Source organism: Homo sapiens, chromosome 16 (genome assembly GCF_000001405.40).
Source record: "Homo sapiens chromosome 16, GRCh38.p14 Primary Assembly".
Taxonomy (NCBI): domain Eukaryota; kingdom Metazoa; phylum Chordata; class Mammalia; order Primates; family Hominidae; genus Homo; species Homo sapiens.
The window spans coordinates 53,297,525-53,315,321 of NC_000016.10; the positions used below are offsets into that span (position 1 = coordinate 53,297,525).

The following is a 17,797-nucleotide window of genomic DNA, read 5'->3' on the forward strand; positions in this document are numbered from 1 at the left end:
TGCAAGGAATGAAGCCCCCACTCATAAGACATTTTAAAGAATTTTCTAGAAAAGATCTCCCAGGGCCATCTTCACAAAAGACTACTAAGCAGAGGCATTGATGCAACTCAACTAAGGAATTGTTCTGGGATGCATTTCATTGTCTTCAAAGCCCAGAGACATAGCTCATCCTGTCAACAGTTCCTCTCAGTAATGCTATGTCATGAACAGTTGTCTCCATTCTTTGTTGTATATGATTTCTCACTGCTAAACCCAATGGCCTGCTATTCCTGTTTTATAGTAAAAAGATTTCCTTACTTGTTTTAAATGTATTTCCTAACAGATTTTTTGTCAGTTCACTGAATGGAGTAGCCAATCACTTGATTACTAGGTAATTCAGAGTAGATTTCAGTCTGTTTTCAGGTCTACTGGAAAACCATAAATGAGGTTAAAATGACAGCTAAAGCAAAATAATGTGTCATTTGTAGTTGGCAAGAGGCCCTCATTTTTTAAAAATTTTCTTAATTCCCATCAATAATATAGTGATAGGAATATATTCATCACTTTTGATTCTAGTTTTAAAAGGGAAAGAGCTAACTACTAAATAATCATTGAAAATGTAGGGCTTCCTCAGAAATGTGAGTAAGGATATTGGAGGCAGGAGCATGAGGCGGCAGTGGCCAGGCGCAGGCCAGGACCCCACTCCTTCCAGTGGCACCATGGGGAAGGCCATGAGCAACTCAAAGCAGGCACTGCCCTGCGTGGCCAAGTTGCGGACAGTCCACATGGAGGTGCATCAGCACAGAGGCAGCACTACAAAAAAAAAAAAAAGGACATAAAGCTGAGTGTTAGAAAGATACCAGGCTGGGCACAATGGCTCATGCCTGTAATCCCAGCACTTTGGGAGGCCAAGGTAGGAGGATCACTTGAGCCCAGGAGTTTGAGACAAGCCTGGGCAACATAGGGAGACCCCATCTCTACAAAAATAAAAAAACAGCCACGTGTAGTGGTGTATGGCTGTGGTCCTGGCTACTTGAGAGGCGAAGGCAGGACCCAGGACCCAGGAACAGGAGCCAGGAGGTCGAGGCTGCAGTGACCCATGATGACACCACTGCGCTTGATCTCGAGCAACAGAGCAAGACCTTGTCCCTAAAATAAATAAACAGAAAGCTACTCACCAAACATATGGTACTGTGTTTGGTGACTACACATGGACTGAGTTTGGTGAACCCTTTCTGTCCAGGAACATGCGGGATTCTATTGTCGACACAGAATTAAAAGTTAAAGACCCCATAGCTCATTGATGAGTGTGTGCACTATTGCACTTCACATCTTCCAGCAGAATGAAGGTGGCCCTAGCAGTGAAAATTTGGAGGAAGAGACAGAAGATATAATTGTGGCAAATCACTGGGTTCTGCCTACAGCCAAATTCCATGGGCTTTGGAACAGCCTAGTGTCTGATGTGGAAATCAAATCACACCTTGATTATGTGATTACAACCTTATCATTTTCAGACAAGAATGTCAACAGCAGCCTCAGCACCTGGAACCAGGTGGTGCTGCTACAGGGTCCTCCAGGAACTGGAAAAACATTCCTATGTAAAGCATTAGCCCACAAATTGACTATTAAACTTTCAAGCAGGTATTGGTATGGCCAATTAATTGAAATAAATAGCCCTAACCTCTTTTCTAAACGGTTTTCCGAAATTGACAAGCTGATAACTAAGACGTTCCAGAAGATTCAGGATTTGATTGATTATAAAGATGCTCTGGCATTTTCACTGATTGATGAGATAGAAAGTCTCACAGCCACCCATAATGAAAGCCATCGGGTGCCATTGGCATGGTCAACGCTGTCTTGACCCAAATTAATCAGATTAAAAGGCATTTTAATGTAGTGATTCCAGCTACTTCCAACATCACCGTGAAGATTGACATGGCCTTTGTGGACAGGTCTGATATCAAGCAGTATATCAGTCTGCGCTCTGCAGCAGCCATCTTCAAAATTTACGTTTTCTGTTTGGAAGAACTGGTCAAGTGCCAGGTCATATACCCTCCTCAGCAGCTATTAACCCTCCAAAAGCTGGAGATGATTGGCTTCATTGAAAACAATGTGTCAAAATTGAGCTTCCTTTTGAGTGACATTTCAAAGAAGATCGAGGGCCTCCATGGCCAGTTCCTGAGGAAACTCCTTTTTCTGGTGCATACACTGTGTGTCCAGGCTACACCAGGCTTTCTCTCTGGTCGTGGACAAGCAGGTTGAAGAGAAAAAAGAAGCTTTCAGCTTACATTTGGTCCTGGGCTTCCCATTCCATAGCTTTCTAGTGGAGAGCACACAAATAGTAAGTAACATCACTTGCCTCACAACAGCCACCACTCTGGAAATCCTCTCTATAAAAATTTGCTTAGGTCTGTCTACAAGCCAGAAACCTACAACACCAACCTTTGTTACAAGTGTTACATTTACTTTAGCTTAAAATGCACATTAGAAGACAAACACCTTGTCATTTTAACTGTTGTTAAAAGATAATTCAAATGGTTGGTGTCTTTGTTAAGAATTGTCTCAGTGTGGCCAGCGCAGTGGCTCACGCCTGTAATCCCAACACTTTGGGAGGCCGAGGCAGGCGGATCACAAGGTCAGGAGTTCGAGACCAGCCTGGCCAACGTGGCGAAACCCCATCTCTACTAAAGATACAAAAAATTAGCCGGGTGTAGTGGCACGCACCTGTAATCCCAGCTACTCGGGAGGCTGAGGCAGGAGAATCGCTTCAACCTGGGAGGCGGAGATTGCAGTGAGCTGAGATCGTGCCATTGCACTCCAGCCTAGGTGACAGGGTGAGACTCCGTCTCAAAAAAAAAAAAAGAATTGCCTAAGTGTGTTTATTGCCATCCTGCTTCCAACTGATGGATACAAAATGCTACACAAGTTTGGTTTTTTCAAAAAAGGAAGATTAACATAGGTATTATAGAAGCAGAACTGTATCACCCTAAATAAGCATGTAATCATAGCATTAAAAAATGAACATATCACTCAGGCTAGAAGGTGGCATGGCTTTATGATGTCAGCTTGATTAATGCAAAAATGGCTTGGAGACTTTTTAATGGATAATAAAAACCTATTTCTATGTTAATAGAAATTGAGAGAAAATTCTAGGTAAGTGTTCTTTTATAATAATCAAACATGGTTCCATTTGCAGGAAGAGTGCAGACCCGCAGTGTTCAAGTGCTGGATATCCCTCATAAACCAGTGCAGGCACAGATGCATTGCTTGGATATTTCTTCCCATTGTTTTGTTGGTTCAATAACATTTTTCACATCTCAGGCCAGATGCGGTGGCTCACGCCTGTAATCCCCACATTTTGGTAGGCCAAGGCAGGTGGGGCAACATGGTGAAACCTTGTCTATACTAAAAATACAAAAATTAGCCAGGCATGGTGGCAGGCACCCATAATCCCAGCTATTCAGAAGGTCGAGGCACGAGAATCACTTGAGCCTGGGAGGCGGAGGTTGCAGTGAGCCAAGATCGCACCATTGCACTCCAGCGTGGGCAACAGAGCAAGCCTCTGTCTCAAAAAAAGAAAAAAAACAAAACAAAACATTATTCACATCTCAAATGATGATTCATATTAATAGAATATAAAATAAATGGGACAATAATTGGTGTATTTTATAGAATATTATGTTTTGCTTTTATGTCATGTTAAAATAAATTTCAATCGCTTCTCTTAGCCTTTTGGCTAAGATCAAATGTAAAGTAGATTTCATATTAATGCTTTGTTAAAAAAAAATGTGAGTGAGGTTGAGGTTCTACTTAACTCAGAGCGTTTCTCAAATTTCCACACTTTACAGTGTCCTTAATGTCTCAGTAATTTTTTTCACAGCACTCAGGGCCAGAAGAATTACCTAACATTTCTGTCTAATGAATAATTAGGTCTGACAACTCAATAAGTATTTATGTCCTCACAATCCAGTAATTATTTAAAAACATAACATATTGAAAGAAAAAATAATACTTCTGTTTCTTAAGTAGCCACAATTATTAATCAAATGTGTGCACTGGTTGGGCACTGTATAACTTTTCAAATCTTAGAAGTAGACTGTGCTCTTCCCACCTTGTTTCCTGCTCCATATTGATTTTTGCATGGTCCTTGATTTTTTTTCAAATTTTTTTGTTTTGAACTACTTTTAAAATTACAGAAGAGTACAAAAAATGTACGAGGAGTTTCCATCTATCTCTCACCCTTCCTCTCTCTTTCTTTTTTTTCTTTTTTTTTTTTTTTTGAGATGGAGTCTCGCTCTGTCGCCCAGGCTGGTATGCAGTGGCGTGATCTCGGCTCACTGCAAGCTCCGCCCCCGGGTTCATGCCATTCTCCTGCCTCAGCCTCCCGAGTAGCTGGGACTACAGGTGGCTGCCACCACACCCGGCTAATTTTTGTGTTTTTAGTAGAGACGGGGTTTCACCGTGTTAGCCAGGATGGTCTCAATCTCCTGACCTCATGATCCACCCGCCTCGGCCTCCCAAAGTACTGGGATTGCAGGCATGAGCCACTGCGCCTGGCCCTTCCTCTCTTAATGTTAACATTTTACCAGAGTAATTATAGTATAATTATCAAAACAAGAAATTAACATTAAAGCCATTAACTAAACTAAATACCTATTTTAATTTTACCAGTTTTTCAACTAATGTCCCTTTTTGTTCCAAGATCCTACAATGTATTTGGTTTTTCTTTCTCGTTAGCTTCCTGCAATCCGTAACAGGTTCTCAGCTGTTCCTTATCTTTAATGACTTTGATACCTTTGAAAAGTGTTGATCAGTTATTTAGCCATGTATCCCTCAATTTGAGCTTGTCTTATGTTGTTACATGACTGGATTGAGGTCATGCATTTTTGGCAAGAGTGCCACAGAAATGATGTGTTCTCAGAATGTAATATCAAGGGATTGGAGATGTCAGTATGTCTTATTACTGATGATGTTGACTTTAATTGTGTGGTTAAGGTAGTTTATGCTGCATTTGGCCAGTGTAAAATTACTGTAATTAACAAATATCTTAAGCTTCACAAATCTTGTTTCTTCTCAAACTTTCACCCATTGATTTTTAGTATCTGCCAGATACTAAATCTTGTCTACAACAGTTTTTTCTGTGGAATTCTGCTGTAAGAAAGGATGTTTCATTCTCTCTCATCTATTTAATCAGTTATTTATTCATATCAGTATGGATTCATGGGTATTTATTCTATAGGTTACAATCCAATATTGTCTTTATTTATTGCTCAGATTGTTCCATATTTGGCATTAGGAGCTGCTTATGTTGGTCCCTGCATTGTTTCAGCAAGCCCATGTTTCTTGAGTACTTCCCAAGTGTCAGTAACCCACTTTTGCAAAGGCATAACCTTATCAGAGGTATGAGGTAGCATGAGTTCATGTTGAAACTGAACTATCTCAAGCTAGTAATTTGTGCAGTGTTTGAAAGATGTGGCTGTGTTTCCCTAGAAATTTGAGAAAGCCCTTGTTGCCCCTGTGAGTTCACTCCAATGTCCTCTTACCTTTTGCAGTTTGAGATATGCCAGCTTACATTTGTTTATGGAGTATCACTTAACACAAGCTTGTCCAACCTGTGGCCCAGGACAGCTTTGAATGCGGCCCATCACAAATTCGTAAACTTTCTTAAAATATTATGAGTTTTTTTTTTTTTTTTGCAATTTTTTTAAGCTCATCAGCTATCGTTAGTGTTAGTGTATTTTATATGTGGCCCAATACAATTCCTCTTACAATGCAGCCCAGGGAAGCCAAAAGATTGGACAACCCTGAACACTTCTAATTTATAAGTGAGTTTGAGCAAGTGTTTGTGTTATTAAGACAAATGTTATTAAATGCATCGCTCATAGGGAATTTCTTAAAATTCCCAGTTCTATTAATGTACTTCCAAAATAATCTTATGTTTTACATTAACATCCAGTATTTTATGTTACATGATTTTTAGTACTTACTTTTAAAACTTTCTCCTTTTTAAAGCTTTTACTGAAATTTCAAAATTTCAAAATCCTCACTGAATTTCTCCTCACTGAAAAGAAATTCTGGAAACTATACAGTGATATTGCATGGAGGCACATTTTAGAAATGGTATTGTTATAAATATATAAAGATGTATTTATAATGATTTATTTATAAATAAAGGATTTTTGAGATTAATATTTTTGTCCTTGTTTCAATATGTAGAATTGGTGGATCCAAATATTTTTATCCAGCCCATCACAGAAGAACGTGCTTCTAGGACTTTGTATCGCATTGAACTTCTAAGGAAAGTACGGGAACAGGCCCTTCGACATCCACAGTTGTTTGAACGCTTGAAGCTTTGCCATCCAAATCCAGATTTACCAGTCTGGTGGGAATGTGGCCCTCATGATAGGGATTTGCTTATTGGTGCTGCCAAACACGGGGTGAGCCGAACAGACTATCACATTCTTCGTGATCCTGAACTCTCATTTATGGCAGCTCAGAGGAACTACAGTCAAAGTAAGATGGCTCATTCAAGGACTTCTACCCCACTTCTACAGCAATATCAAGTAGCACTTTCTGCTTCTCCTCTTACCTCTCTACCTAGGCTCCTAGATGCTAAAGGTATTATTCTAGAGGAGATGAAAGTTAAAAGTGAAAACCTTAAAGAGGAGCCTCAGTCTTCTGAAGAAGAATCTATGTCTTCTGTGGAAACCAGGACACTAATAAAATCTGAGCCTGTAAGTCCAAAGAATGGTGTTTTACCACAGGCTACTGGAGACCAGAAATCTGGTGGAAAATGTGAAACAGACAGACGCATGGTTGCAGCCAGAACAGAACCCCTAACTCCAAACCCAGCTTCTAAGAAACCAAGAGTCCACAAAAGGGGATCAGAATCTAGTTCTGATTCTGACTCAGATTCTGAGAGATCATCTTGTTCTTCCAGATCATCTTCTTCCTCATCATCCTCTTCTTGCTCCCACTCTCGATCAGGCTCTAGTTCTTCTTCATCTTCATCTTGTTCTTCAGCATCTTCTTCATCCTCTTCCTCCACCTCTTCCTCCTCCTCCTCCTCTTCATCTTCATCAGAAGAAAGTGACAGTGATGAAGAAGAAGCCCAAAAACGAGGTACTATGCATAAAATAATTCTACTTTTTTAACATAACTTTTCTTTTCTTTTCTTTTCTTTTCTTTTCTTTTTTTTTTTTTTTTTTGAGATGGAGTTTTGCTCTTGTTGCCCAGGCTGGAGTGCAATGGCGCAATCTCAGCTCACTTCAACCTCCACCTCCTGGGTTCAAGCGACTCTCCTGCCTCAGCCTCCCAAGTAGCTGGGATTACAGGCATGTGCCACCATGCCTGGCTAATTTTGTATTTTTAGTAGAGACGGGGTTTCTCCATGTTGGTCAGGCTGGTCTCAAACTCCCGACCTCAGGTGATCTACCCGCCTCAGCCTCCCAAAGTGCTGAGATTACAGGCATGAGCCACCAGGCCTGGCCTAATATAACTTTTCAAGTGAAAATGAAAAGAACTCGTTTCAGGTAACTTAAGGATGTTTAAAATTGTTTGCTTACAGTGTTTTTTTGAAACGGAGTCTCGCTCTGTCGCCCAGGCTGGAGTGCAATGGCACGATCTCAGCTCACTGCAACCTCTGTCTCCCAGGTTCAAGCGATTCTCCTGCCTCAGCCTCCTGAGTAGCTAGGATTACAGGCACCCACCACCATGTCCAGCTAATTTTTGTATTTTTGTAGAGACAGGGTTTCACCATGTTGGCCAGGCTGGTCTCGAACTCCTGACCTTAGGTGATCCGCCCGCCTTAGCCTCCCAAAGTGCTGGGATTACAGGCATAAGCCACCACACCTGGCCTGTTTGCTTAAGTTTTATATATACAAATGTTCTTAGGAAAGCACTATTGGGAAGAAAACTAGTTACTGATACAAATTCCCTGTTTAATATTCAAGGCATTACACAGTAGATTAATCAGGCAATTGAATTAGAAATTTTACACAGTAGTTTATTTGTGATTGTCTTAAATTGAATATTTTTCCCAGGAACAAGTTGATTAGTGAACAAGTAAAAGATAATATTATATAGCAGTCACCAAGAGTCTTAAGCTAATGAGAATATCATAAGCCATTTATTTGTCAGCCATGACAAATGCTTGTCAGCAGAACAGTGTTTGGTGGTCCCCTTCTGCAGGAACCCTTGCAGCAGTCCACCAGTTCAGGGGCAAGAAAATGAGTCCAATTAAACATGAGCAGGAGCTGGGGTCTCTTGTAACAACTCCATAGGCATAACTTTCGGGGTTGCCGCAAGAAACATGCCCAATTCTAAGAGTTACAAGAGTCACCTAATCAAGAGAATTATGGTATCCTCATCAGGTATTTATAGTTCTGCCAATCCAGATGAAGTCTACCAATCAGGAATCATTTTAAAAATAGTGAGTAATGAAGTCAGGCGTAGTGCACACCTGTAATCTGAGCTACTTGAGAAGCTGAGGCAGGAGTATTGCTTGAGCCCAGGAGTTCTGTCCAGGCTGTGCAACACAGCAAGACCCTGTCTCTTAATAATAATGATAGGTGCTTTTTTTATATTCTAGGTGATTTTTTCTCTTTTTTTATCATTTGTTTTTACTTCTAACATTTTCATTTTCAGGTGTTTCTGAATAATTATGTAAAATCCTTATATATAAAACTATTTTATGTAGTCTTTTTAAAAAATGATTATAATTGTTTTTAGCAGAAAGTACTACTCACATGAAAGCCTATGATGAAGAAAGCGTCGCGTCACTGAGCACTACCCAGGATGAGACTCAGGATAGTTTTCAGATGAACAATGGGACACCAGAGTCTGCTTATATCTTACAAGGTGGATATATGCTGGCAGCCTCGTATTGGCCAAAGGTAAAGAAATAATTTCTTATTGGGATAGGTCATTTTTTAGTATTTTTCTATATTGCTTCAATGGTAGATATTCTTACTATGTGGAAACATAGGTCAGCGTAAAATGTAGGATGACATTTTGGTGTTAGCTCCAAAAGTATAAATTACTGCTATCAAGTAAATAGTTCTGCTTTAATGTGTATGCTTCTCAACATAACTTTAGAATGTTTAGAATAAAAGATAATGAATCCTTACTTTCAAGTTAATCCTAAAGTGCTTCTTTATGAAACAGGTGCTTTTGACTGAGTCTCCTTGAAGAAGTTTACTGTAGCCAGTTGTGACCTAGAATGAAAAGTTCATTTAAATACATGTACATTCAGTGGAAGAAGAAAGATTGAATTAATACAGATTTTCTTCCTTTTTTTTTGAGTCTCACTCTGTCGCCCAAGCTGGCTTACAGTGGCACAATCTCAGCTCACTGCAACCTCCGCCTCCCAGGTTCATGCAGTTCACCTGCCTCAGCCTCCCAAGTAGCTGAGATTACAGGCACCCACCACCCTACCTGGCTAATTTTTGTATTTTTAGCTGAGACAGGGTTTCACCATGTCGGCCAGGATGGTCTCGAACTCCTGACCTCAAGTGATCCGCTTGCCTCGGCCTCCCAAAGTGCTGAGATTACAGGTGTGAGCCAGTGCACCTGACCAATTTTTCTTCCATTATGTGACTAGACTAGTGCTGGAATACTTACCTTTAAGAATGAGGTTGGGAAATGGGAGAATGGAGGGTTTTCTCCTCTTCTGTGTACGTCTAAGTTGTTTGAACTTATTAGGAGTCTGTATTACTTTTTAATTATAACAGCAAAAATAAAACTATCTTTGTGGTATAATTTTTTGTCTGTTTGTTTGTTTGTGAGACACGGTCTTACTCTGTCACCCAGGCTGGAGTATAGTGGCACAATTTTTTAATTTTTTGCAGAGACAGGGTTTTGCTATGTTTCCCAGGCTGGTCTCAATCTCCTGGCTTCAAGCACTCCTACCACCTTGGCCTCCCAAAGTGCTGGGATTACAGACAGGTGTGAGCCACCACGCCTGCTTATGGTATAATATTTTTGAACTTCACCAAAGGGAATCTGTACTCAAATAACTTGTTGCAGAATTGTAATATATATATACACGAGAATATGTATGCATAGCACATACACATATGTTGAACTAGGGTTAAATCCATAGACTCTTGAGCTATTTGATCTCCAAAGGTCTGATCTAATTATTAAAATTACACTTTGATGTTGCACGCTTTTCTAGGATCGTGTGATGATCAATAGGTTGGACAGTATTTGTCAAACAGTTCTGAAAGGAAAGTGGCCTTCAGCTAGAAGAAGTTATGATGCTAACACAGTGGCTTCTTTCTATACCACAAAACTGCTGGACAGCCCTGGAGCAGCTACAGAATACAGCGATCCCAGTGTACCCACTCCCCCAGGTGCCGGTGTTAAAGAAGAACATGATCAGTCAACACAGATGTCAAAGGTGAAGAAGCATGTACGAGAAAAGGAGTTTACAGTGAAAATCAAAGACGTATGTGTATTTTTATTGCCCTAGGGCCTGATTGCGATTGCGGTGTGCAGCATGCTTTTCCTGCAAATGGCTGCCTGCTCTTACTCTTCCTTCCTTCACATACCTGTTTCTTGGTATTTGGATTATTTTCTTTCTGATATCCAGGTTATTAAACTTGAATATTCTACTAGAGGGATCGTCATTAAATATGTTTTTCTCTTTATGCTTCTGAAAATAGTTCTAATCAAAATGCTTTCTTAAACAGTGTGGCAATTTCTAATTGTTTTGGTTCTTTTATATAGTATTTAAATAGTATGTCAGTGTACTTTCTGTTTTAAACATTTAGCATGCCCTGTTATCAGTATTGTTTCATTTTTAAATGATTTTTGAAGCTTAACTTATTACTTAGTGTCTAAAACATAGTTAATGTCCTCCAAAATGTCATATGAATAATGTACATAGAGATGTATGTCTAAAGTTAAAAATGTTACAGTGTACTAGTAACATCTTGTTTTGGTCAGAAAAGTGTGTAGAGTACTTGTATTTTTTTCATTCAAAATAGAAAATTTGGTGTTATTATAGAAATTGATTTAAAATGTTTTTATTTGACTGATTTATGAATGAGAAATGAACTTCTTTGATGTTTCAGGATTTTTACTTCATTTTTTTTCCTCAGTAAAAAAATTCTCTTAATATCCTGCAATAAGATTTTTTTTAACAGTTTCTGTCTTAATAATGGTATTTGTTTAACAGGAAGGTGGTTTGAAGTTGACATTTCAGAAGCAAGGGCTTGCTCAGAAAAGACCATTTGATGGTGAAGACGGTGCTCTGGGGCAGCAGCAGTACCTCACTCGGCTTCGAGAGCTTCAAAGTGCATCAGAGACCAGCCTCGTCAATTTCCCAAAATCCATACCAGTATCAGGTGAATATGCAAGTAATAATTGTCTTACTATGAAATATTTTCTGTCATGTCCAAATCTTCTTTTATAGATGCTTGTAATAAAAATTTATTTTTCCTTTGTTGGAACCTCTTAAGCCTATAAAGTAATCAATAGAATTTTAAATCTTAACAAATATTTTTTGGAACTTTTAACATGACATTTTAAAGCATAAAGGGCAGTTTTCATTTTGGGGCCTAGAGTAGTTGTGTGGGAACATCATTTTGTCAAGTTGCCTCATACAGGTAAAAGTTCAAACTGCATTTCAGTATCACAAATTAATGGTGATTGGTAGAAGAAATTAAAAAGAGAAGTTTTAGAAAAACTTTAGAGATTGTACAGTCCAGGCATCTTCAGGATACAGGTGTTATCTATGACTAATCCCTAAAAGGTAATTATTCATCCTTAGGGAATACTTACAGAAACAAGGTTCCTTAAATAGCCCTTTTTATTATTGGGCAGCTCAAATTGTCAGAAAATTCCTCTATTTAGAAGTAAATTTTGCCTCCTATAGGTTCTTCTCAATTATCGAAGTTCTGTCTTTAAAAGGCAATGCATAATTAACCTAATCCTGTGTCTACATGATAAATCTTAGCATTTTGAAAGCAATTATCAGATCTCCCCTACAAACTATCTGTCTGTCTTCTAATCTTTTGGCAGTTTGAATCAACACATATTTATTAAATACCTAATTGGTGGTGCCCTGTGCTGTGTACTCCGTAGGCATTGAGGAATGCATTAGACATTGGTTTTAGTTTTTGTTTTGTTTTGGATTTCTGTTGAGATAGTGTCTCACTATGTTGCCTAGGCTGGTCCTAAACTCCTGACCTCAAACGATCCTCCCACCTGGCCTCCCAAAGCTCTGAGATTACAGGCATGAGCCACCACGCCCAGCCTGTTTTTGTTTTATCTTAGTACTTTAATTTATCTGTGTTCCTCTAAAAGTGTGATGTCAAGAATTGAGAATGAAAATTTAAAAAAAAAAGTTGAGAATGGTACTCAAGATTAACTGAGTCTTAATGCGTGGACCACAACATACTGATCTCCTAAAGTACTAGTTGTCAATTCAAGCAAATAAGTGTCTTGAATTTCCCTTCCTTGTGCATAAAGTTAAAGACTGTACTTCAGTATTCTACTAAGTCTAGTTGCCAAGCAATACATGCTGTATTATAAGTGTTGTCTTGAACTGATCACTATTTCCAAATGCTGCTATTACCACTTCTTAAATTATAAATTAGTTTAGCTTCATCAGCATCAGTTTGGTCTCTTGTGGATTCATTAACCATTCAATGTAATTTTCCAATTAGTAGAACTTCAGACATGTATGAATTGCACTTCAAATATGAATCACCCATGCTTCTATTACTGTAGAATAAATCCCCCAAATTATGCTTTACAATTACAGTCGCCCAAATTATACCTTACAATTAACAATTTTGTTATCAAAGGAGCCCTTTTTTTTTTTCACCAGAAAATGGTAACAAATGGGGAAGATAAGCTGTGCGTTCTTTTGCCCAACCTCAGTGGGGCTTAATAATACCACTACTCTTACTGTTTAAAACTCCACTGTAAAGTGAGATTGATACTTCTATTGCCTGAACATTTTATTGCTGTTGCAGCTGAAGATTGTATAGCTTTTGCCTGTAAGTCATTCTTTGGTAAATAATACTGTTTTTTAATAATATCAATAGTAGGGGTCCGGTGTGGTGGCACATGCCTGTAATCCCAGAACTCTGGGAGGCCGAGGCAGGCGGATCACCTGAGGTCAGGAGTTCGAGACCAGCCTAACTGACATGGTGAAACCCTGTCTGTACTAAATACAAAAAAAAAAAAAAATTAGCGTGGTGGCGCGTGCCCAGATTCCCAGCTACTCAGGAGGCTAAGGCAGGAGAATCGCTTGAATCCGGGAGGCGGAGGTTGCAGTGAGCCGAGGTCGGGCCATTGTACTCCAGCCTGGGCAACAAGAGCGAAACCCTGTCTCAAAAACAATAATAATAATAATAATAATAATAATAATAATATCAATAGTAATTGTGCCAAGCGTGGTGGCTCACACCCGTAATCCCAGGACTTGAGGAGGCAGAGGCAGGAGGATTGCCTGAGTCCAGGAGTTCAAGACCAATCCTGGCAACATAGCAAGACCCATCTCTGAAAAAAATTTAAAAATTAGCTGGATATGGTGGTGTGCCCCTGTAGTTCCAGGTACTTGGGAAGCTAAGGTGGAAGGATCACTTGATCTCAGGAGGAATACCTGAGCCATGGTTGTGCCACTGCACTCCTAGGTGACAGAGCAAGACCTGTCTCAAAAAAAAAAAAAAAAATTGTAACACGACTTTTGCAGCTATACAAAATATTTAAAATCTCAAGTATTCACCCTAGATAGAGTTATTATCTAAGCATTTTATCTTATCCATCTTAATAATTGCAAATATGAAATCTAGATCTTTATTCCTATGTTACTTTTGGGAAATCTGTTAACATTTTTGAGCCTTACTTTTCCTGTTTGTGACATGAAGGGTGTGGGGATGACAGAGATGGCATTGTTAGATGGGTTAAATAAAACAATGTATATAAAGTGGCCAATAAAGAGCTTGGCACACAATGGGATGCCAAACAGATGTTAAAATATGTACTCATAGATTTTAGAATTAGATGTTTAACAGATGCTATTATTAAAATTCTTCATTTTCCAAAGGCTGTGCCTTTTGTATTCTTGTGTAATTACCCCTTGGAAAGCCTTGAGTAAAGATACCAGATGTAGTGTAATTTCATTAATGAAGGAGAGTAAAATAGCATAGATTATAACAAGAGGACAAAACTGAAGAGCTCATTCCAGAAACTACCTGGAATAGTGAATAGAGGATGGCAGAGCCAAGCAACCTGGGGTTTTTAATTCTGTCATTTACTGGCTATTGTGACATTGAGCAAGTGGCTTAATGTTCCCATCTTATTTATAAAATGAGCTTAATAATCCCTCTTCTGTTTTGTTTTTGATGATTTGAGATAGCATTTGTAAAGCTTAGTACAGTATCTGGCACTTAGTAGGCATTCAATACAAAAAAAGCTATTTTTAAAATAGTGTTAATTACATCTAAAATAAAGACAACACAGACTTCAAAGTTAAATCTTACATTTGGATTCTGGCTTAAATGAATTGCTAATGTTTATTAAAATCAGCCTCAGAAATAAGTCAGGGTAGTATATAATTAAAATGAAGAGTTAGTCAAATAGAATATGTTTGTAAATGTACACAGTATTGTAAATGTACAATATTGGTAGAAACCAGATGTTTTTTCATAGATAATTATATTAAGTACTTCTATTTTTTATGTAGTACAGGGATAGCACTAAAGGTAAAGTAAAAGAAATGTAGGACACTATCTCTTCCTTTTAGTTGATTGGTAGACAAGACCTGCACATTAAAATATTAGACAATACATTCAATATTTTGCTACACAGAACATTATAGTTAATAAACGTTGGAAAAGAGGAAAGTCATTGCTTTCTGGAAACTTAGCCAGAGTCCTGTGGAAGAGATGGGATTGAACAGGATTTGATAAGAGGACAACAAAATAATTGTCTTTCTAGAAAATAGGGTTGTCAGAAGGGGTAAAAGAAGGGCAGGGAATAGCATGAAACAGAGACTAGATGTCAGGAAAATGGTATGATTTTGTGGTAAGACTGACCTTGCTAGTGTGTAAATTCTTACTGGGACAGATGTGTAGATCAAATCTTGCTTAGGAAAGCTAAATCTTAAGTTATGAAAAGCATCAAAAACAGATCTAGGGCAGGGGTCAGAGGTTGAGAATCATGTTGATTCAAGGCAGTTCATTTATATTAGAATAGGAAGCCATGAGAAGTATGAAACAGAATGGTTACTTACCATATGAATTAAGTACCTTTTTGAAACTGAGATGGGAGGAAGGTTGTGACTTCTGTGAAGTTACACAGCTCGCCAGAAGGCAACACCTTCTTCAGGAATACCCAGGACTTGCTCAGTAAATTCTCCTTGAATGACTGGAAATGCATTTTTCATTATAAACATGTAAACTATTTTAAACAAGCATCTCACCTTTAATAATACATCCTTTTAATAAGAGAATTCAAGATTATGTACTCTTTAAGGAAAAGTGTTTTATTCATCTTTGAACCATCATACTGCATAGTACATAGCTGCTTAATAAAATATCTATTAGAAAAATTGATGAATGCATGGAACTGTTTCATTCATACCCCTTACATTTTTGTTGAGTGCCTACTGAAATGAAAGAAGTCAGTCTAATTTGGTGACTAAAAAGTTACTGGTATCTTAAAGAAAATACCTTAAGTAGGTTGGGGCAGGAATGGACTAGGGAAATCCAAGAACTAGTTACTCATGAAAAAAAAAGAGCACAAGAGAGATCAGTCTTTTAAAAGTTCTGATGTTATAAAAAGGACAAAGTGTTTTTTTTCTGAGACAGAGTCTCATTCTGTTGCCCAGGCTGGAGTGCAGTGGCATGATCTCGGCTCACAGCAACCTCCGCCTCCCGGATTCAAGTGATTCTTGTGCCTCAGCCTCCCAAGTAGCTCGTATTACAGGTGCCCGCCACCACGCCCAGCTAATTTTTGTATTTTTAGTAGAGACGTGTTTTTGCCATGTTGGCCAGGCTGGTCTTGAGCTCCTGACCTCAGGTGATCTGCCCACCTCGTCCTTCCAAAGTGCTGGGATTACAGGCGTGAGCCACTATGCCCGGCCAAAAGTTTAACATTTGTTTGTTTGAGTTAGGGCATATTTTTAAGTTTAGAAAAATCTGGCCAGGTGCGGTGGCTCACGCCTGTAATCCTAGCACTTTGGGAGGCCGAGGCCGAGGCCGGTGGATCACAAGGTCAGGAGATCAAGACCATCCTGGCTAATATGCTGAAACCCCGTCTCTACTAAACAAATACAAAAAAATTAGTTGGGCGTGGTGGTGGGTGCCTGTAGTCCCAGCTACTTGGGAGGCTGAGGCAGGAGAATAGCATGAACCCAGGGGGCGGAGCTTGCAGTGAGCCAAGATCGTGCCACTGCACTCCAGCCTGGGCGACAGAGCAAGACTCCGTCTCCAAAAAAAAAAAACAAAAATCAAAAAAGAATAATGTAGAAAAAGATATTTGGCACAAAAAGCAGAGATAAATGATTTTTTTTAAAAAAACAAGCTTTTGAAAGTATAGGAACTAATGGGTTCAAAGAAAGGGGAAATGTTTATCTTAGGGAAAAGGCATGCTTCCTTCTCCAAGGAAGGAAGAGAAAATGTGTGAATATCGGGAAAAAAAATAGAGAAGACAGGTCAAAAATTGAAAGAGGCCTAGGTTGTAATTCTTCAGGTTTTTAAATGAGAGGTGGGGATGATATTTTTAGTCCAAAAGTTTCTACATTAAAGATGTATAAAATAAGAACTAACACTTTCATATATTTAGGAAAGGGATTACTTTCAGTTTGTTTAAGAACTAAATTTGTATCACCATTTTGCATTTTTAATTCAATTAGGTACTTCCATTCAACCAACCCTTGGTGCCAATGGTGTGATATTAGACAACCAGCCTATAGTCAAAAAAAGGCGAGGAAGGAGGAAGAATGTAGAAGGTGTTGACATCTTCTTTTTTAACAGAAATAAACCACCTAATCATGTAAGTAAAGCAGTACTTAAAAACTGATCCTTGAATTCAAAATTCAATCCTAATAAATATACATATTATTGTTTTGTGAATGTTTTATAGACTATTAGTAAGGAAATTAGAAGTATGCCATATAATTTTAGATGATATCTTAGAATCTTAGCACTGTCCAAGAGTGATAAAAATTTTAAGTTTAAAAGATTTAGCAGAATTTTTAGCAACAACTTATTTTTTCTCTTCAAAAATAATTGCTTTATTGAACCAATATTAGAATGATAAAGTATGAAAATAAAGATACCATTTGGTGTTTTTTTACAGGTTTCTTTAGGCTTAACCTCCTCACAGATTTCCACAGGGATAAATCCAGCACTATCCTATACTCAACCTCAAGGAATTCCTGATACAGAAAGTCCAGTTCCAGTTATTAATCTTAAAGATGGAACGAGACTTGCAGGAGATGATGCACCAAAGAGAAAGGATTTGGAAAAATGGCTTAAGGAGCACCCGGGTTATGTGGAAGATTTGGGAGCTTTTATTCCTGTAGGTGACACCTTAAAATTCTTGTTATATTTTATTTTTATGAGTTGTCAGATCTATCATGATGAAGCATAAATTCTCATCCACTTATGCTAAATATGTGCTCTGCCTAAGACCTAGGAGAATTAGCAGAAAAAATAATTACCATCCTTCCCATGATACAATACAATGTTATTTTCCATTTTTCCATTCTGCATTCAATGAGTATTTAATAATAAAAATCACTTCCAATATAGAGTACTATGTTAGACCCAGTGAAGGTTGCTAAGGTATAAAACTT

The 17,797-nt window shown here is 38.4% G+C and overlaps 1 protein-coding gene and 2 pseudogenes across 43 annotated transcripts in view; 2 read left to right on the top strand and 1 right to left on the bottom strand.

The window, feature by feature from the left end:
* The window catches only part of CHD9 (chromodomain helicase DNA binding protein 9), a 272,507-nt gene that overhangs the window by 242,534 nt on the left and 12,176 nt on the right, over nucleotides 1–17,797 (top strand). For 28 of the 43 annotated variants that reach the window (XR_007064921.1, XM_047434707.1, XM_047434692.1 and 25 more), the window contains 6 exons: nucleotides 6,196–7,101; nucleotides 8,710–8,873; nucleotides 10,157–10,429; nucleotides 11,162–11,330; nucleotides 16,853–16,992; nucleotides 17,299–17,520. Coding sequence is in view for 42 of the 43 variants with exons in the window: in XM_047434707.1 (XP_047290663.1) it covers nucleotides 6,196–7,101; nucleotides 8,710–8,873; nucleotides 10,157–10,429; nucleotides 11,162–11,330; nucleotides 16,853–16,992; nucleotides 17,299–17,520 (1,874 nt within the window). In the remaining variant the exon portion in view is untranslated. The remainder of the gene's footprint in view (nucleotides 1–6,195; nucleotides 7,102–8,709; nucleotides 8,874–10,156; nucleotides 10,430–11,161; nucleotides 11,331–16,852; nucleotides 16,993–17,298; nucleotides 17,521–17,797) is intronic. The other 15 variants (XM_047434695.1, XM_047434694.1, XM_047434697.1 and 12 more) reach the window with 3 other exon arrangements.
* Nucleotides 643–3,689, bottom strand: LOC100310835 (thyroid hormone receptor interactor 13 pseudogene; annotated as a pseudogene).
* On the top strand, nucleotides 1,164–2,270 carry LOC100421174 (thyroid hormone receptor interactor 13 pseudogene; annotated as a pseudogene).